Here is a 19,502-nt window from a genome sequence, read left to right as displayed (position 1 = left end):
TACTCCAAACATCAGTAAATGCCTGCTGCCCAGACGGCCCGTGAGAACGATGCTTCACAGGAATGAAGGAGCTAGGTTGTGTCCAGCTCAGACCACCCACTGAGCCCCCCTTGGAAGTTGGAAGCGCACTGGGAGCCAGCAGGGGAACGGGGATCCTCCCTGACCCTGGGCTTCCACCACATGGGGGTGGGAGCTGCGTTGGGTGGAATATGTCACCCCAAATCCATGCCCACCCAGAACCTGTGACTAGGGCTTTATTTGGAAATAGGGTCTTTGCAACTGTAATCAAGTTAAGATGAGGTCAGGCTGGATTGGGTTGGGCCCTAAGTCCAGTGACTGGGGCCCTGGTAAGAAGAGGAGAGGACACAGCTGCACACTTGGGAAGGAGGCCGCGGGACGACAGAGGCAGAAGTTGCAGCGATGTCTCTGAACCAAGGGACACCAAGGATTGCCAGCAGCCACCAGAAGCAAAATGGGGTGCGTGAAACGGACTCTCCCTCCAAGCCTCCAGAGGGAACCAGCTCTGCTGACCGCTTGACTGTGGACTTCTGCCTTCTAGAACTGCCAGAGGATGAGTTTTGAGGTGCCTAGTTGGTGATATTTGTTTTGGCAGCCCAGGACAGTGGAGCGTCCTTAGGCTGGGGGACTGGGGAGTACTAGGCGGCTGTCTGGGCTGGCTGTGGGGTCTCTGTCTCCAGCTGGGGGCTGATCCTGTTGCAAGAAGGGGCCAGACCCACTTCAGGTGGGGCAGAGGCTGGGGTCAGAGCTCTCCAGGGCTCCGGGGTGTCCAGGCTGCTGGCCCTTCGGCACCTGGCGGTAGAAAGGGGAGGCCTAGAGGCTGTCTGGTCCAAGCCACATGCGCATTCTGCACCCACCAGCAGCCAGCTTTGGTCTTGGAGCAGAACCAACGGTCCACAGTGGGGTCACCAACACCAAAGAACATCTGAGGATCCATGTGGGAACCACACTGCCCCAGGAATAAACGCACCAGCGTGTCACCCAGACTCTCCCTGTTGTGGGAATTCGGTCTTAGATGGGCAGAGGGACCAGAAGACCCTAGGGTTTCAGCAGGTGGAAAGGAAGGTGGCAGTAAGAACCACCAAGGGGACAGCGTGGGGATGGAGAGAGAGTGGCAAGGCCACAGGGCCGGAGTCAGCCACATGGGTTCCTGAGGCGGAGGCTCCAGGCAGGGGCCCGGTGACCACGAAGGGCCCGAAGGAGGAAACTGTTCGGCCACACAGGAAACCAGCTTGTCAGGAAGAGTGTGGATAAGAAGGGCAGTGGCAGGTGAGTCAGAGGCAGCTGGGGGTCAGGTGACACCCAGGTCTTGAAAAAGAGAAGAGCCACCCACCCTGGCGTCACTAGTCACTAACCTGGAGACAATTTCATGGCTAAGCAATGTCACTGAACACCAACACCAGACAAGACCACTGTGTGCCCGAGATGGGGCAAGATACACAGGATCGTGTCAGAGCATAGGCAGAACATGAGCATCGGCCAGACCTCAAGGGTCACCAAACCACCCCGTCCTGGCTAATTTGAATGACCGCTGCTGCTTGATCAATTTCAGCTTCAGCTGCATTTTGTTCTTCCTGCCTTCTAGATAAAAGTTATCAAGATACCCAGCTGTGGAGTCAGCCCTGCTGCCTTGAGCCTCTCCCAACTCCTCCTCCCACCATGCTCTCCCAACACGAGGAGACTTGCGGGTCCTTCCTAACATCCTCTCACAGCAACCAGTCAACAGACGTGGCTTGATTCCACTGCAGCGCGTTCCTGGGGTCTTTGGTTGGATGGTAATGGACGCTTTGGTTTTATTCTGAATGATAACGAAAGCCACTGAGTGGCTGCGAGCAGAGGAGAAATGGAAGTGATTTTGGAGACACTATCTGGGGGAGTAGCCAGGAGGCTCTGTCTGGGGGCGGAGGTGAAGGCAGCTGGGGAAGATCCTCTGTGGCTACTCGGGGTGGGGCGGGCAGGAGGAGAACATGCAGATGGCCTCTATGTGCCAGAAATGCTTTCCAGGAGCTTCTGACAGGAGAGGGCAGCTGCAGAGAGCTGGACGGGGGACAAGGCTGTTGCTCCACCAGCTCCAGGCAGCCTGGCGAGGCTGAGCACCCAGCCGAGGAGCAGAGAGGTGCCCACTGCCACCGCCACCCTAACACCCTCTGAGCAGAGGAGCCGGCACGCTCAGGATATCCTTTAAGACAAGAGTTGAAGGGAAAGACAGAATCAACCCGGCTCTGCAGGCGCCAAGGAGCCAGCACACATGGAGGCTGTGCAGTCCATTCCCCGGATGTCTGATGTGGGCGGCAGCACAACACGTTGCTTGGAGGGGCAGTGAGGTCATTCCCACAATTCTGAAGAAGGGTCAGTGGACTGTGTGCTCAGCAGGGAGGGCTGATGGGCCAGACTTGTGGATCACTGACAGCCGGGTCGGAGGGGGGGCTCACCGGGAGGGGTGTCCCCCACCACCCACTCCAGTTCACACTGCTTCTGACTTGTGCCCAGGAGAGCAAGCTAGCCTTCCAGGGGGCCAGAGTAACACTGGGCATCCTCTCGCTGCCTGCTAGGGTGAGACATATGGGACACGTGTGTAGGTGTCTGTCCTCCTTTGATTACTAGTGCTGGGTGGGGGGGGGGGTCCCCAGAGGTCCCCAGGGAGTGCAGAGGCAAAGGCTTAGCATCTGCCCTTGCTGCCTCTCTCCTGGACCAGACTGCTTCCCCTCCTTCTCCCAGGACCTGGCCGTACCTGGAGGGTGGAGCCCTCCGTTGAGCCTGCTTGCTTGAACTTCCCTTCCTCCCCTGCACTAGCAGGCCCCTCAGGCCTCATGGGGACACTCTTCCCCAACCCCCTACCTCACCCCCTCACCCCTCACCTAGAAGGAGGTCAGAAGAATTTGGTGCCATGGAAAGGAACATGGGGCATGGAGCACTTGAGGACACTCCCGGGACCCCCTCTGCAGGGGAAGGTGGAGCTCTGGGGCCAGAGGCTATGAGAGCACCAGCCAGCTCAGTGCACATTTGTCTGAGTCCGGAGTCCCAGTGCTGCTGTGAATGCGCTGAAGGGGTGAGGCAGGGATGGGGTGTTAGGGAGGAAAGAGAACTCTTTGTGAGTCACATTTCAGACGCCTCCATTCCCATTCATACATTAGGGTCTGTGGGGGACTGGGGCACATCAATATATTGTTAGAGAAAAAATGTATATGCAATATAAATGCATTAAGAAAAAAAAACACCCGAAGAAACGATTCTGACATGTTAATAGTGGTTCTATGTGGCAGTGGGATCGAGGATTTTTATACCGTACTTTCATATGTTTTCCAAATTTTCTACACCAAGCACGTGTTAGTTACGTAATTTAAAACTTATTTATTTTTAAACCAAATTCTCCAGCCAACTGTGCTTTTCCCCAGTTGCAGTAACTTTCCTTTCAGTCAGGTTTCTGGGTGAATCCAAAGAACAAGGCGGCCTCTCAAGCCCACATCATGTCACGTTCATATTTTCATTCTTCCTTCGTTGGGCCGGCTCTGCGGAGGCCGAGCGCTGGGGCTGGGGCGAGAACGGTGTCCCTGTCGTCAGGGAGTTTCCAGCTAGTGGCCTTCTCCCGCTTCTCAACCCATCCCCTCCCCTGTCCGCCGAGGTCGGGCTCTGACGGGAGCGGGCCGCCCTCCGTCTGATAGGTGCGGTCTGGGGAACTTGAGCTGCCCAGTCTCCCTCCTTCTTTCCCCTGCTGCAGACCCCAACTCTGAGCTTGGGGGACAGGGAGGCCGAAAGGGCCCTGTTAAACGCTGGGTGCTGGGAAGCCGCCCCCTCCAGGGAGCCCTCAGGACCTCAGGCCAGGGCTGGAAGCGAGAGGAGGCCGGAGCCCAGGGAAAACGGGCGACCGGGGGCGGCGCGCGTGTCAGTAAGGAGCCAGGCGGCGGGGACGGAAGCTCCGGGAGGGCGGCGGGCCGGGGCGGGTGTCAGAAGGCTCCGATTGGGCCTTCTGCGGCCCTGCTTCCCCCGCCCCCGAACCCCCCAAAAGCTGCGGGCAGCGGCAGGGCGCCTGCGACACAGGGGCGCGCCGCGCGGGACCTGAGGAAAAGCTACGGCCAAGCCCCGAGCACAGGCGCGCCGCCGCGCTGGCTCCGGGAACGCGGACGCACGGCGGGGCTGCCACAGCAACGCAGACAGGAGCGCGGCGACTGGCGGAACCGCGGAGAGGCGGGACTCAGGAGGCGTCTCGCGAGAGTTAGGCTTCGCGGGCTTCCGGCCGGTGCCGGCCGCGGGGGCCGACGGGGTTAGGCTTCCGGCGTGGGTTGTGTGGCCTCTCCCAGCTCCACGCGTTTCTGGGCGCCGGGCACTAGGCGAGCCGGCCGGGCTGGCGCGAGGCCGCAGGCGGGAAGAGTCCCCGGGGTCGGCCCCGAAGCGGCTCTGGAGGCAGTAGCCGGGGACGCCGAGGTCAGGGAGGAGGCGGATCCGAGCGCGGTCCCGCAGGGCCCTGTCCGTTCTTCCGCCTCGGCCGGTCCCGTCAGGCCGCCTTTAAATGCCCGGCGCCTCGCACCTGCTAACAAAACGAGCTCCTGCTGTTCCCCAGCTCCGTAAATGGTGCCCCTGGCCCTCCCCAGTTCTCAGGCAGAGCCTTGGCGGCCTCCCTGACCCCTAACACCCCGCATCCAGCCCGGCAGTACATCCTGTTGGCTGTGCCTTCGAAATTTCCCCAGACCTGACCTCTTCTCCCACCTCTGCCACCACCCTGCTCCGAGCCGTCTTTTCCCGCCGAGATGACTGTAGTAGCGTCTCAGCTGGGTCTCCCCGCTTCCACCTTCCCCTCCTGAGTCTCCTCAACACAGGAGCCAGAGCGATCTCGGAAAGTACAGGAGGTCATGCCCCAGTGTGGTTCCCCTTTCCTGGGTTTAAGTCAAGGTCCTCACCGTGCCTGCCGGCCTCCCGGGTCTCTGCGCGGTGGACTCTGGACCTCCCTGCCCCGTCCTGCCTCAGGGCCTTTGCACCTGCTGTTACCGCGGCCTGGAACGCTCCTCCCCTGAAACCCTGTGACTCCCACTTAGTGAGGCGACCACCTGTTGAAAACCGTGCCCCCTTCCTATACAGATGCTCCTGTCATATGGGGTTAGATTCCCCATCAACCCATCATAGGTTAAAGCATTGTAAGGCAATTTACGGTAGGTTTATCCGGATGTAACCCCATCTGTAAGCGGAGGAGTATACTGAATGTGTATGGCGTTTGTACCATGGCAAAGCCAAAATGTAAGTCAAACTCGAAGTCCAGGACGGTCTGTGGCCTGTACTCCCTTGCTTTCCCTCCCCGGCTCTTAGCGCCATCCAGCATCGTTGATAATGTAATTTGATGTGTATTGTCTGAAAGCACCAAGACGGCAGAGTTTCTCTCTTATCCAGATCACAGTGTGTGCTCAGTAAACACTAGACTGAGGGGGTGTATGAGAGGTCTTTTTTTCCTCTCTCCTTCCTCAGGAATGGGTGAAGATGAAGTCCTGTAAGGCAGGAGCTGGATCAAAGAAATATCCCGGGTCTTGTCTGTGTGCAGACTGTTGTTTGAGGACTCTGCTCCAGTTCTAGCAGCGATCGGTGGCTCCCTTGGGTGACTCTCCAGAAGGAAGGGTGCCAGCATGGACTGGTGTCTGCTTGCCAGATGCCCTGAACAGCTCATTCCTCAGGAGGCCAGGGGCGCCTCAGGAAGTGCTGTCAAATGCAATCACTCTCAGAACCCTCTGGGCTGAAAGATGTCATTGATTTATGCTGGCAGCCCCGCGCAGCACTCTGCTAGGTGTTGAATTGTCTGGAGAACACCTGGTATCACCCTCAAGGCCCCTTAGTCTGGTAGGAAGGAATGATGAGGAAGAGGCTGTGTGGAAGTCACAGAGAAGGAGGAGGGTGGGATCAGTTTCCAGGGTGGGGTCTCTGGAAGTCCTCTCAGGGGTTCTCAGGGGGGCATTTCTGCCTAGAGCAGCAGGTGTAAGGCGTGAGCCATGGACGAAGGGAAGGAGCCAGCCATCATTGATCGCCTCCTCTGTGCTGGATGTGGCTCTAGATGTCAAGCTCACATTTACACATTAGCCTTCCTTTACAGAGGAGGAAACAGGCTCAGAAAGCCCCTGACCCCGGTTACACCACTACTAAATGCAGGATTCAGATCTTCAGTTGAGCTCTTTGTGGCCGTGAAGCCTGTCCTCTTCCCAGGGCTCGATGCCACTTCCCAGGCTGGAAGCCAGACAAGCATCCGGGGCTGCCCGGAATTGCATGCAAATGTCCGGACAGCCGGCTTCCTCGTGGGCCCCGGCACTGGCAGAGGAACTCTTTGCCGGGCATGTGGCTTGGGCAGGCCAGGGCAGCCATCTGCCAGCCAGCCATGTGGGGAGGAGGCTGTAGGCCACCCCACAGCCAGATGCTTCTGGGCCGGTCCTGGGCTCCCAAAGGTAGTTCCTTCAGGAGATGGAGTCACCTGGCTCCTCTCTTCCCTTCCACCCAGTTCCAAAGTCAGGGGTTCTGGGGCTGTGTCAGCAAGGGGCCATTCTGGCACTGTCCTTCTGGCACAGAGCATTGTGGCCAGGGATGGACATCTGTTCTGCATTGACCCCCATGGCCAGGACATCTGTGGCCCCACGGAACTCAGTGACAAGGAGAGTCGGCAGCAGGGAAAGGCCACGCTCTGTAGTGTGTCTGCCAGGTGGCAGAGGATCCCTGACACAGCCCAGCTGGCATCTGCCCTTGCCACTGAGGCTTCCTGAGGGCAGTCCCCAAGGGTCCTGCCATGCCAGGGCTCCCCTTCTGCCAGGCAGTGGCTGCTTAAGCTGAGGGAGGGAGAAGCTGGGAGTTGGCCATGACTGATGGTACCAGGCCAGTGGGATCTGGAGCCCACAGATGGTGGAGGATGGGGCACAGCCCCCACCCCTTACCTGTGACGTGCCCTGCCGGCGGGCAGAGGCATCCGGTCTGCTCTGTAGAAGTTGGAGGTACAGACTGGCAGAGGGAGAAGCGGAAGAGATAGCATCATTTTACAGAAGGGAAAGCTGAGGCCCTGAGCCAGGGGGATATGCATGGATGCCCCGTGGGCTTTCTCGCGTTTACTCCTCCGCACAGGGCCCTGTTTTTCAATGGAGGAATTAGGGCTTGAAGGAAATGAAGTGAGGTTTCCAGGGTCCCCTGGCTAAGCCAGTTATTTGGCCCTGACCGGTGCAAATCTGAGAGGGGGACTAAGCAGGCCCTCAGGCCAGGGTCCGAGCTTGCTCACTCAGCCACAGCAGGGAAGAGTCAGCCTGAGGCAGCAGGCCCAGGATCGAGGGTGACCCTCCTCCCAGAAGCAAGATGTGGTGAGGTCCCAGATGGGCTGGGAAGGTGGCATGAGGGCTTGCTTCAAGGGAGCCTGCTGGCTGGCCTCCAGTATCCACCTGGAAACAGCCCCCCAGGTGTGCCCCTCGAGCTGCTAACCCCAATCTGGCCACCCCCCAACTCGCTCCTCAGCACTCCAGTGGTCAGGGTGTCCCCTTCCCTGGTCCCTCCTTGCCCCTCCTCTTAGCACCAGCAACCGGGGCCTCCAGCAGGCCAGAGATCTTCCCACAGCCTCCTGGGCTTCCTGCCCAAGGCAGGGGCTGATCTCTCAAGGGTGGGTGGGACTTCCGGCTGTGCCATCAGCAGTTCCTGGCTGTATCAGTTAGCTTTGGCTGTGTAACAAATCACCCCAAAGCCTAGAGGCTTCACACAACTACCATCTCTTATCCCTCACAGATCCCTGGGTTGCCTGACCAATTCTGGTGTGAGCTTCCCTGCTCAGGGGACAGCTCCCTGAGCCCAGAGCCCTGACTGCAGAGCTGCCGCCTGCAGCCCTGCATGCTGTTTCTCACCACACTGTGTCCCCGCCCTTCCAGCCCGTGGAGTCACACTTCGCCACCCAGCCCCCGAGGACACACTCATGGAACCCCCAGTCAGGCGTCCAGACTAAGCCACCAGGGTGGCTCCTCTCAGCCCCACTCCTGACCAAAGCTTCCTGCCTATCGAGCGTGGGGACCAACTGCAGGCACCTCCGTCTTCAATGCCACTCCGGAGGCAGAGGGGAGCCTCCACCTTCCCTGGCATTGTCACCATCAACCTTAACAATAGTTTGACTTGGTTAAGCTCCTCCAAGGGCCGGGGAGGTCGGGCTGGGGCCAGAAGGAGCAGCCTGTACCAGGTAACTGTGACAGCAGACAGCCAATGGGCAGAAGAGAGGTGTCAACGTCCCCCACTGTCGGGACCAGAGAAGGCGCCATGGGATGAGGGAGGGTCTGATCCCAAGGTAGGAGGAAGTATCCTGGGTCCCGGGGTCCCTCGAGCAATCTGCATTGTAAGGGAGGGTCCCTCTGGGGCCAGGAGATACATCAGGAAGTGGCGGAAAGACTGCATTTGGGGGCCAGATCTGGAGGGCCCTGGAAGCCAGGCTGAGTCGTCTGCCTTTGCGAGTGATGGGGAAGCGTTGACGGGCTTTGAGCCCGAGCCTGCCAGGAGCACAACGGAGCTTCAGGAAGCAGCTTTCCAGTAAGTGCCGGGAGCCTTCTTGGAAGCAGGCAGAGGATGAATTATAAATAAACAAACCAGAGCCCTGCAGCGGCGTGGGCCGGGTGGGAAGAGGGGAGAGACCGGAGGCAGGGCCTCACTTAGGTGCTAAGCAGCCCCTGGCCTGGCCCCCGCCAGCCCTCCCACCCTGCCTTGCACCCTGGCCTCGGGGACTCAGCGGCCTTCCTGCTCAGGGCATCGGCGGGGACCTCAGGCTTCTGGGGCCAACCTTGGCCAGGCTGCAGAGGGGAGGCCTAGTGTAGACCCCCACTGTGGGACTGGGAGGCCCCCCTGCCTCTCACAACTCCAAGGGTACAGGCCCAAGTCTCTCTCACACCAAAACAGGCCCCGTGGCCACTCATCCGTGTGGGAGGTGTCTCACCAAATGTTTGAAGGGGAAAAAAAATCCCATTTTCTAAGGTGTTTTTTTCCTTTCTATTTTTTGATTATTTTTCTAGATGACTTCATTTCTAAGAAGGGGGTAGTGGAGAGAAGGAGGACAGGGGGAGGGAGGACTTGGGCCCTGAGGAGGCCGCCGGGGACCAGAGCAGCGTTGGGGGAGGAGAGCGAGAGCCAGGCCCAGGGAAAGCCCAGGCCTCTTCAACCTGGGGAATGGGGGGCTTCTGTGACCCGAGCCCAGGTGTGTCCCGAACCCAGGTGCCTCGAGTGCCGGCTATGAACACATCTCCCTCCTGATCTCCCACGGGCCTGCTGGCCGCCTGTACTCCCACGAGGCCCTGTGGGGGAGGTCGGCTCTCCTCCAGCAGGAGGGGAAGGGTCTTCAGGCCTTCACCCCAGATCTCTGGCATGTGACGCGCCCACCCCCCACCTGTCCCAGGGACAGAGCTGAGAGCACTTCCCCATCCCACACACCACTTGGAACCGGCAGAACCCACTCTGGCCAGCTTAATGGAACCCAATACAAGATATTAGGAGGCTCATAGAACCTTCCGGAGAGCCTCGGCGGCCACACAGCCAAGAACAAGGGCCCAACCGTGCAGCCTCCCCCACCGGGCATGGACCCAGCAGCCCGCACCTGCTGTTCTGAAAGCCAGGGCCCCGCTGCCGTCCCCGTTGGTCAAGGGATTCTGGAGGCATCGGCTTCCTGGCATTGCTCACCTCTGAGGCTGAGGCTGAGGCTGGCAGGTGCGAGTGGAGCTGGCTCCTATGCCTGGGCTCGGGCTGCAAGGGAGGCAGGCCCAGGCACAGGATGGTGCTCAGAAGGTGGTGGCCACCCCAGCACTCCCTGAGCCCTTGAAAGACTTTTCCAACCCCAATACCCAGCAGTCTGCTGGGCTGGAGAGACGGGAAGGGAGGCTGTCTCCCTCTCTGGGGGCTGCCATTAACAAATGAGCATCAACTTGATGGCTGAAATCAACCGACATTTATTCTCTAACAGGTTTGGAGACCAGAATTCCAAAATCCTTCTGGTCCTCTGCGGGGACCCTGTCCCAGGCCGCTTTCCCAGCTTCCGTGGGTGCTGGGGACCTCGGCACTCCTTGGCCTGTGGATGCATCTCTCCCACTGTCCCACCTCTACCTTCCCCTGTGGGTGTCTGGGTCTCAAATCTCCCTCTGCCTTTCTCTTTCGAGGACACCTGTCATTGGATTTCAGGTTAACCCTTCATGCAGGATGATTTTATCTCGAAATCTTTAACTTTATTCCATCTGCAAAGACTAATTCCAAAAAAGGTCACATTCTGAGGTTGTGGGTGGACACCTGGGACCACCATTCGGGGCACTACCATGGGCATGATAAATGGGCACAGGACGGGCAGCCGGGGAGGGAGGAGGAGAAGAGGGAAGGACGTGGGTGTCGGCTGGGACCGCTGGGGCAGGAGGAGCCAACTGCCTTGGGACTGTCGTCCTGGACGTGGGATTGTCTGTCCTCTTACGCCCAGACCTGCTTGCCACTGCCAGATGGTGTTTCCCACCACCCTTGGCCTCCTCACTGTTGCCTGGCATGTCCCAGTTCTACATGCCATGAGCGCCCCACCTGCCCCCCAACAGCTTCCAGACCCCCTCCAAGCCTCAGAGCCCTGGGTTCTCCTGAGTCCCAGAGGCAAGAGAAGCTGCCCCATTCCTCTCACCCAAGCCAGCCTCTTTCTCGGGTCACTGAAAGGACAGTAAGCCCCGCCATCCCCTCGTCTCCTGACTCCCCATAGCCCAAAGCTCTTTCTCCTCCCCAAATCCCGCCCTGTGGAGTTTAAGCCATTTCTTCTGATGAGGCTCCCAGAGACAGAGACCTGTCAAGATGCACAGGGCCATGAGTCAGACTGGGGCATGAAAATGTCTGCACACATTCTGCACACAGTCTCGCCTTTGAGGGAGACCTCAGAACTGCCTTTGAGGGTGACCTCAGAACTGCCTTTGAGGGAGACCCAAATCCCATTTCAGAGATGAGGAGAGAGGTTTAATACCCTGCTCCTGAGTTCACACAGACACGCCTGGACTTGAACCTGAAATGACCAACTCCAGCTGTGAGTGACTCTTTTCTCTGATTGCACCACAGGGACTCAGTCCCGTGAGGAATGCTATCCCTGCTGAAATCCTTCTGGGGACAGGGAACTCACCACCTCACAAAACACAGGCTAAGGCCAGGCACGGTGGCTCATGCCTGTAATCCCAACACTTTGGGAGGCCAAGGTGGGAGGACTGTTTGAGGCCAGGAGTTTGAGACCAGCCTGAGCAACATCTCAAGATGCTGTCTCTACTATATATGTGTGTGTGTGTATACACACACACACTAGCTGGGTGTGCTGGCACACACCTGTAGTTACAGCTACTTGGGAGGCTGAGGCAGGAGGATTGCTTGAGTCCAGGAGGTCGAGGCTGCCACGAGGCGAAATTGCACCACTGCACTCCACCCTGGGTGACAGAGTGAGACCCCATCTCAAAAAAAAAAAAAATAATAAAAATAAAACAAAACAAACCAACCAAAAAAACAAAAAAAACTGTGGGCTCTACCAATAGTCCCAAATGCCAAGAAAGCTTCCTTCATGGAGGGAAAGCCTTTTTCTCTCCGTGGAACTCAGCCCACTGGCCTTGGCAATGGGCAGTGCTCCTGGCCTGCAAGTCTTCTCCAAGACACATCCTCTGTTTCTTAGCCCACCCGTGAAAAGTAGGGCTCTGGGCCCCTCCCCCCAGGAGGGTTTCTGGCCCAATCTGCAACGTCAAGTACGCGCCGTGTCCTTGGGTTGTGAGGCAGCTGGGGAGGGTGACTTTGGACAGATGTCCTTGGGCTGTGAGGCAGCTGGGGAGGGTGACTTTGGACAGATGTCCTTGGGCTGTGAGGCAGCTGGGGAGGGTGACTTTGGACAGGTGTCCCCGGCACTGTGCCCCAGTCAGGTGCAACTAAGGGATGGGCTGTGCCTACTTTGAAGGTAACAGAGTCTGCCCAGGGCCACAGTCCAAGGGCGAGGCCCTTTTGGGGTGCCTGTCATGGCATCTGGTCATCAGCCACCTTGGCCCCTGCAAGCTGGGGCCACCCATGGGCACTCCTGAGCAAGGCCTGGGAGGGACCTGCCAGTGTCCTGGGAGCCACTCTGCCAAGGCTCAGTGGCGATGTCATACTTTGGAAAAGAAAAAGAAAAAAAAAAAGGCAACCACCAACAAACTAAGAGGCTGAGTCACAGCCAGGCGGAGGCATCTGTTGAATCCGAGAGAGCCATGGTGGCGATGGGGGCCCCCTTAGGCTTGGTGGGGGAGGGGGCACAGAGGGGCCACCTGCCCCATTTCCCTGCACTTTTGGAGGCACCAGGCAGCCTCTCCTGGAGGACACGTGCCCTTCCAGTGGGGTGCTCTGGTCAGAAAGCCCAAGGGGTCAAGCAGACTTCAGGCTCAAATTCCAGCTCAGCCATTCGTTGGCCCCTGGCCGGGGCCAGCTGCCCCAGCTTGCTCAGCCTCAGTCTCCTTTTCTGTCTAGTGGGCATAAGGGTGGCTCTTAGCATTCTTGTGCCAATTACAGAAGAGCTGAGTTCTCAGAGCAGCCTCTGGCACAGGACAGGGACTGAGCACAGACAACTTTGCTCTGTTTACTGCCATCATGAAAGAAAAGCCCCCTGAGGCCGGGTGGGCACCCCTCTCCTGGAGCAGGGATGCTGCAGGGTTTGTCCGTGGGGTCGTCTTCTCTGCTCAAGGCCCTCCTGATGCCCCAACAAATCGGCTTCCAAGGCTGTTGGTGGCCTTGGGCTGTCTCCTTGCCAACTCTCCCACACTCCCTCCTTCCTCGGATCCCAGTACTCCTGAGGGGTCTTGGATACAGTGTGATGGGCTTGGGGGGCAGCAGGGGCAGGGCAGGATCTTCTACCCTGGCCAGCATCCTGCCCAGCCTGGCAGGTCCCCTCACCGTGGGGCTCCTGCTGTGGCCAGGCAGGGACTGGGGAAAGCTGGCAAACTCCGAAGTGGCCTCACTTAACACACAGCATGGCCCCAGCCTTTCTGGGAGCCACAGCCTTGGAGCAAGGGGCGGAGGTGTAGCCCACGTGCCCCGGATCAGTCTGGCAGGGTGTGCTGGTGTCCCCTGGCAGGAGGCCCCTGCAGATGGCAGGCATCTGTGTGCGGAGGACGCCTTCATCCTGCCAAGGCACAGGGCTCCGGAGCGGGAAGGCACCCTCTAGACCATCCACACACACTCCTGGGGCCCGAGGCCTGCAGAAGGAAGGGACTTGCCCAGGGCCACCTGGCCAGGGGTGACAGGTCTCCCAGCCCTGATCAGGACCTCTAAGGCTCTGCATCCTCCGAGGCTGAGCCCAGATCCCCTGAGCCCCTGGCCCAGGAACGGGCTGCATGGGCCTCTCCCCAACCCTGGAGCCCATGTGATCCCAGCCCCCCTCCCTCTGATGGCTCCCGGCTCCCCCACCGGCGGGTGCCTGCCTCTCCCGCCCCCGCGCTCCCGGCGGGGAGGGGTTCCTATGGCACCCCTTCCCCCGCACACACTTAGCTCACTGGCAGCCCATCTGCCCCGAGACGGCGGCAGCAGATGCTTGGATGCACAGTGGTGCCTGCAACTTGGTCGGCCCAGTGCCTGTGGCGGGTGTGCACGCTGCCAGCCAAGGTGGGGGCCTGGGCCCTGAAACACCCACCCAGCTGGGGCAGAGGCCCCTCGTCCAAGGCCAGGCTATAGACAGATTAGGACACCCAGGTGCCTGCCAGTGCTGGGGACAGGGTGTCGGCAGAGCTGGAGTCAGAGCCGCCCCTGCAGCCCCTCCCCACCAGCATCCCCAGCCAGCGCTCCTGGGAGGGAACTGATGGATGGGCCACTCTCTAGCGGGCTGCACCCTCGCCTCCCTGACTCCCTGGGGAAGGCCCAAAGCGTGCAGATTCTGCTCCTAGGCCCCAGCCACAAGGAGGAGGCTGATGGGTGCCACGGACACACCCCACAGGGGCTGCCACTGCCCGAAGTGCATGCCAAGGTTTGTGGCAGAGGGTCTGGAGCTTCCCAGCAGCACAGAGGGTTAGACCCTCAGCTGGGGCTCAGGGGACAGGCCCCTTACCCTTAGCCTGCCTGAGCACCTCAGCCTCTGGTACCCCAGGCCCACCCTCCAGGTTCTGCTTAGCGCCCTTCCTCTCTCTCCTGACTTCTCACTCCCCCGAATGGGGGTGGGGGGCAGAGCTGGGTGCTAGGAGGTGGTGGCCATGGCCCCTGGATGCACATGGCCAGTGGGTGGACAGGCCTGGTTTCCATGGCAGCAGCCTCCAGCCCTGGGTCGGGAGAGGAGTGTGCTGAGACCCCCAGAGCCTGGCCTTTGGCCAGCCTCTCCCCACGCCCTCCCCACGCCCTCCCCTGCAGCCCTCCCCACTCCCTCCCCACGCCCCCCCACCCCCCCACGCCCTCCCCTGCCGCAGGAGCAGGGCTTTGTCATGCCTGGGTCCCCAGCTGGGCACAGGAGGGTGAGCCCAGCATGGGGCAGGGGCCTAGGGGGCCATGCACTGGTGGCTGCAGTGCCCCCACTGATATGGGGGTGGTGCCACCTCCAATAAAACAGAAGAGTTTGGCTAAGCCTGGAGCCCTGGGGACTTGGGCTTGACACTGGGGGGAACGTCCTGATTCCGGAAAGAATGAGAGCATCTCTGGGATCTGCTCCCAGGGCTGTTCACAGCCTCCAGCCCAGCGTCCTGGGTAAGAGGTGTGGGGAGGCAAAAGCGGCCTCAAGACAGGAGAGGCACGGCCTGCGGGGCGGAATGAGGGGGCCAGCTCGCCTCCTTAGGACCCCAGTAGCCGAGCCCCCAGGAGCGTCTGAAAGCCGCAGACTCCCAAGGATCGGGCAGCCCCCCTCCTCCCGGCACCCCCGCGGTGTGAGCTGCAGACACACAGGCACACCCGCACACATGCGCACGCCCCCGGGCCGCCTCTGCTCCCCTCGCGACTTGCGTTTGTTTTGCTCCGGCAGGGCTGGAATGGGGACACGCTGCACTCTCGCAATTGGCAGTTTCCTCCAAGCCCCCCGTGGAGGTGCCATATGTCCGCATCATGAATAGGCTTGAGGCTCCGTGCCATGGCCTGGGGGGCTGGGAAGAGGCAGCTGCCAATCACCCCCAAGTAGGCAAGGGGAGGGGGCTACCAGAGGGGCGGGGTGGGGGCACAGGCAAAGGCCAGGGGACAGGGTAGGGCCAGGGCTTCGTCACTGGTTCTCACAAGGGTGGGACACATCGCAGGTGACCCAAGGGCCTTTGCTGAAAACAAAGCAAAACCCAAAAAGTCCTGGGCTTTGACTTTGATAAGTGACCAAAGTCCCCGACCCTGCCACTCGGCCTCGGGCCCGTCCGTGTGCCGGCCGTCAGCCCAAGCCACCTCCCTCCTCCAGGACAGCCCAAGCCACCTCCTCCAGGATGCCTCCCTCCTCCCTGCGCCTCTGCTCCGGCATGTGCACCCTGGGAGCCTTCACCAGTGAGGTGGGTCCAAGGCCTCTCTTGTAGGGAGGAGAAGGAGGAACCAGGTTCAGCCAGCACCAAGTGGGGGCCACAGTGTTAGTTCCCACAACACTCCCAGAACTGGGGGTTATTATCCCCATTTTATAGATAAGAAAACAGAGGCCCGGCGAGGTTTTACTAAACTGTTTCAAGGTCTCCCAGCACAGCGACGGCAGAGCCAGATTCTGCTCAGGTCCGGACAGTGCACAGTCAATGGTCCCTTGCCCAAGCCTGGAGCAGCCCCGTCCCCTGCTGTGCCTGGGCACCCTCTGCCTGGTGGCCACCCACCCTGCCCCTTGTCTCAGGGACCTGGCTTCTCCTCCTCCACCTCCCAGCTCCGTGATGCACTCTGTCCTGCCCCCACCCCCCAACCCCCACTTAGAATGAACTCTTCTCTCCTCCTCCCAGCTCTGTGATGCTGTCACAGAGTCTCTCTGTGTCTCTCTGTCCCCCGCCCCTTAGAATGAACTCTTCTCCCAGCTCTGTGATGCTCTGTCCCCCACCTTAGAATGAACTCTTCTCTCCTCCTCCTGGCTCTGAGACACTCTGTCACCCTCTCTTAAAATGAACTCTTCTCCCAGCTCTGTGATGCTGTCCCCTCCTTACCGCCTTAAAATGAATTCTTCTCTCCTCCCAGCTCTATGATGTTCTGTGCCCCCCACTTTTAGAACAAACTCTTCTCTCCTCCTCCCAGCTCTGTGATGCTTTGTCCCCCCGTTACCCCCTTAGAATGAACTCTTCTCCCAGCTCTGTGATGCTGTCCCCCGCCCACCCCCTTAAAATGAACTCTTCTCTCCTCCCAGCTATGATGCTCTCTCTGTCCCCCCACCACCTTTAGAATGAACTCTTCTTTCCTCCCTGTCCTGAGGATGCTGTTACCCATCTTGCTGACTGCAGAGACCACACAAGACAGGGACACCTGTCTGCAGTCTGCACGTGTGTCCCTCCCTAACCTCAGCCCTCAGTCACCTCTCCCATCCGTGCCTGGTCCAGGTCTGACATGCAGGTGACTGTGGAATGAATGAATGAATGGACAGAGACAGGTACAGGCAAGAGTGGTGCGCCGAGCACGCGAGGCATGACTGCAGAAGCTGCCACCAGTGTAGCCGCAGCCGGTGTCACACCGTCCCTGGGGGGGTGGAGGAACTGCCCTGCTCTGGGCTCCACAGGCCCTTTCTCTCATTCCTGGCCCTGCTGGACGCAGCGACGGTGGGTTGGATGAACTGCCCTGGGTTAATTGGCTCTCTCTTCCTGCCAGCATGATGGATCCTGCTTGACATTTCCCCAGATAGTTAATTGATAACCAAGTAATTTGTCATGGAGACCTCATTATATGCCAACTGGGTCCCCTAAGCCGTTAGCGTCTGTGCCCCAGAAACAAGATTGGCAAGTTAATAATGGAGGCTTAATCACGCTGTTCTCTGCTGGCACCGGAATAGAATTACCTGGAGACAAGATGGGACACTGTTGCTCTCCTTGGGCCTTGGAGATGAAGCTTTATGAGAGATCCTGAAGCCACTGACCCTTCTTGAGAAGGTCACCTGACCTCGGTTTTCTCAACCAGGTGTTCCTTCTCCTGGCAAGAGTGCTGTTCTACTGAGAAGTCCCCCTCTCCACAAGGTGCACTGAGGCTGCTCCAGGCCCTAGCTCTGCACTGGGCACTTGGCCCCCCGACCCCAGGCCACAGTGAGGGGTTCAGGGGAAGGCATGTGACTCAAGCCTGGCCAGCCAACAAGTGTCGGCGTGGGGCCTTCGCTGGGGCCACTGGGGCCGCTGGAACAGCAGGGCTCACTCTGCCAAGGATTGTTATGTGGGTGAGGAAGTGAGGCTGGGCTGATGAGGGAGCAGCCTCCCGGAGAGGGAGGGAGCCAAGGCCAGGCCATGCAGGGCGGCGCTGCCTCCTGGAGTGAACTAACGAGGTCCCAGCTTTGCTTAAGTTGGTTTTTGTCACATGTAACCTGGAGAGTTCTGATTATACACAAGGGAGCTCCACTCAGACACCCACCTGCTGCAACTCCAGGATTCAAGCTGTCTGCCAGGGCTGCGGGGAGGAGCCCCCTGGGGAGGAAGACCACCTGGTACAGAAAGGCAAGGCCTGGGAGAGATGGCCTGGGCTGGGACGAGGGCTGGGGTCGGCAGTCTTGAGGAGGGCCTGGGGTCTGCTCCCCAGGGGGTCTTGGGCAGGAATGGAGGCGAAGCAGGGCGGAAGCTGAAGAGGAGTGAGGCTGGAGGAGAGGCTCCGGCCCCAGCCTTGACTTCAGCACCAAGGACAGCGGCAGCACACTTCCCGTGCAGTGAGGCAGGCCCAGCGCAGCCCCCGACAGTGAGGCGGGCCCAGCGCAGCCCCCTACAGTGAGGCGGGCCCAGCGCAGCCTGGCCTGGATGTTTTTAATTTTAAAAATATCTTTTATTTAAAACTAAATAGTGATGGAGATGGGGTTTCGCTATGTTGTCAAGTTGGTCTCGAACTACTGGGCTCAAGCAATTCTCCCGCCTCGGCCTCCCAAACTGTTGGGATTACAGGCGTGAGCCACTGTGCCCAGATGGGCCGGATGTTTTTAATGAACCAAAAGGAGATTTATACTTCCATGGCAGGGTTTGGGGATAAATAAGTAATGGGTACACAGAATATCAACCCAATCCCCTAAATGAGGCAATTATTAAGTCCAGGAAAAATAAGTGGTTGTACAAGAAAGGAAATGTAATTACAATACATTACTCAGCTGGGAAGAGTGTGTGCTGAGAAATAATAGTGCATACATTGAATTCTGATTCAATCAAAAGGAGAAGCTGGTGGGAGAGTGTGGGGGGGCACGTGTGAGAGAACAAGCTTTCAGCCGCCATCGTGGGAAGGACATGGGTAAATTTCTCAATCTGAAAAGGAGAAAAAAAAAAGCAGCACCAGCAGCAACATGAGCATGGCTATTCGGAAGTAAATACCAAAGAGAATCAGCTACAATCACAGAAAAGGTTGCCTCTGAGAAGGGGGAATCAGGAAAGAGGTGTGGTTTTTCGTCAGAAGCCTTGTAGTACTATTCGATTATTAAAACTGTCAATTTATGATGTTGATTAAAAGCATACATGAAATGTAGGCAGGGAGCGGTGGCTTATGTCTGTAATCCCAGCACTTTGGGAGGCTGAGGCGGGTGGATCATTGAGGTCAGGAGTTCGAGACCAGCCTGGCCAACATGGTGAAACCCCGTCTCTACTAAAAATACAAAAATTGGCTGGGTGTGGTGGCGGGCGCCTGTAATCCCAGCTACTCAGGAGGCTGAGGCAGGAGAATTGCTCGAACCCGGGAGACAGACGTTGCAGTGAGCCAAGATTGCTCCATTGCACTCCAACCTCAGCGATAGAGCGAGACTCCGTCTCAAACAACCAAAAATACATGAATGTAAGTAACTAAAAAACAAAACCAAAAATTCTCAAGCTGCTCCCCGCTCCCAGCTCTCTGTCAGGCCCAGGCAACCCCAGGGTAGGGCCCCGAGGCCTGTCCTGTCTTCCTGGATTCTGCACCTCCTCCCCGGCCCCTCTCGGCCCTCCTGTGCTCCCTCCATGCCCCTCTCTGGGCTGCTCCGGGTCTATCTGTGGATTTGTCCTGGTCCTCATCCCTCCTGCCTTAGCCTGCCTCCCACCTTGCCTGCCCCTTTCTGCACTTTACTCCCTTTTGGGTTCTGCCCATGGCAATCAGAGGGGAAGGGGTGCCTGTCCCTGGGGGAGGAGCCCAGCCCTGTCCACAGGGCCCGTGGCACCCGCAATAGCTGTCAGCTGGCCCCTTTAGCCACACCCCTACTGGCCCCACACCAGCCGCCCATGGTGGTAGGACACAGAGAAGTTGCTCCTGCTTGCCGGGGAGGTGAATTGGGGCTAGCAGGCTGTACTCCATCATCTCCATGACACCTCGCCTAATTACACTGCGTGCTATTCATCTGGATGTCAGCGCTGCAGCATGGCTTTGCCCTTAATTAATAATTTGGTAAAACTCCACTCGGGGCCTGGCCAGGGAAGTTCAGCAGGGACTGCTAAGGCTGGGCTGCTGCCGGG

General features: G+C 58.9%; 7 annotated features.

Moving 5' to 3' along the window:
- Positions 1,185-1,274: an enhancer, noted in NCBI's record as "active region_12936". NCBI's record gives its function as "activates an Ori minimal core promoter by ATAC-STARR-seq in GM12878 lymphoblastoid cells {active_cell/tissue: GM12878}" and the evidence as "EXISTENCE:reporter gene assay evidence [ECO:0000049][PMID:35858748]".
- Positions 1,760-2,054: a silencer, noted in NCBI's record as "tiled region #4093; HepG2 Repressive non-DNase unmatched - State 20:ReprD". NCBI's record gives its function as "represses a minimal TATA promoter and a strong SV40 promoter by Sharpr-MPRA in HepG2 cells {active_cell/tissue: HepG2}" and the evidence as "EXISTENCE:reporter gene assay evidence [ECO:0000049][PMID:27701403]".
- Positions 3,757-4,586: an enhancer, noted in NCBI's record as "H3K27ac-H3K4me1 hESC enhancer chr17:78428217-78429046 (GRCh37/hg19 assembly coordinates)". NCBI's record gives its function as "activates a minimal SCP1, AML or CMV promoter by ChIP-STARR-seq in naive H9 embryonic stem cells {active_cell/tissue: H9 hESC(naive)}" and the evidence as "EXISTENCE:reporter gene assay evidence [ECO:0000049][PMID:30033119]".
- Positions 3,820-4,079: a silencer, noted in NCBI's record as "silent region_9109". NCBI's record gives its function as "represses an Ori minimal core promoter by ATAC-STARR-seq in GM12878 lymphoblastoid cells {active_cell/tissue: GM12878}" and the evidence as "EXISTENCE:reporter gene assay evidence [ECO:0000049][PMID:35858748]".
- Positions 4,340-4,549: a silencer, noted in NCBI's record as "silent region_9108". NCBI's record gives its function as "represses an Ori minimal core promoter by ATAC-STARR-seq in GM12878 lymphoblastoid cells {active_cell/tissue: GM12878}" and the evidence as "EXISTENCE:reporter gene assay evidence [ECO:0000049][PMID:35858748]".
- Positions 12,590-13,372: an enhancer, noted in NCBI's record as "H3K27ac-H3K4me1 hESC enhancer chr17:78419431-78420213 (GRCh37/hg19 assembly coordinates)". NCBI's record gives its function as "activates a minimal SCP1, AML or CMV promoter by ChIP-STARR-seq in naive and primed H9 embryonic stem cells {active_cell/tissue: H9 hESC(naive and primed)}" and the evidence as "EXISTENCE:reporter gene assay evidence [ECO:0000049][PMID:30033119]".
- Positions 16,865-17,531: an enhancer, noted in NCBI's record as "H3K4me1 hESC enhancer chr17:78415272-78415938 (GRCh37/hg19 assembly coordinates)". NCBI's record gives its function as "activates a minimal SCP1, AML or CMV promoter by ChIP-STARR-seq in primed H9 embryonic stem cells {active_cell/tissue: H9 hESC(primed)}" and the evidence as "EXISTENCE:reporter gene assay evidence [ECO:0000049][PMID:30033119]".

This window comes from Homo sapiens, chromosome 17 (assembly GCF_000001405.40).
Source record: "Homo sapiens chromosome 17, GRCh38.p14 Primary Assembly".
NCBI classification, from domain to species: domain Eukaryota; kingdom Metazoa; phylum Chordata; class Mammalia; order Primates; family Hominidae; genus Homo; species Homo sapiens.
The sequence above is the reverse complement of the archived record's forward strand: the minus strand, read 5'-3'. Positions and strand labels throughout refer to the sequence as shown.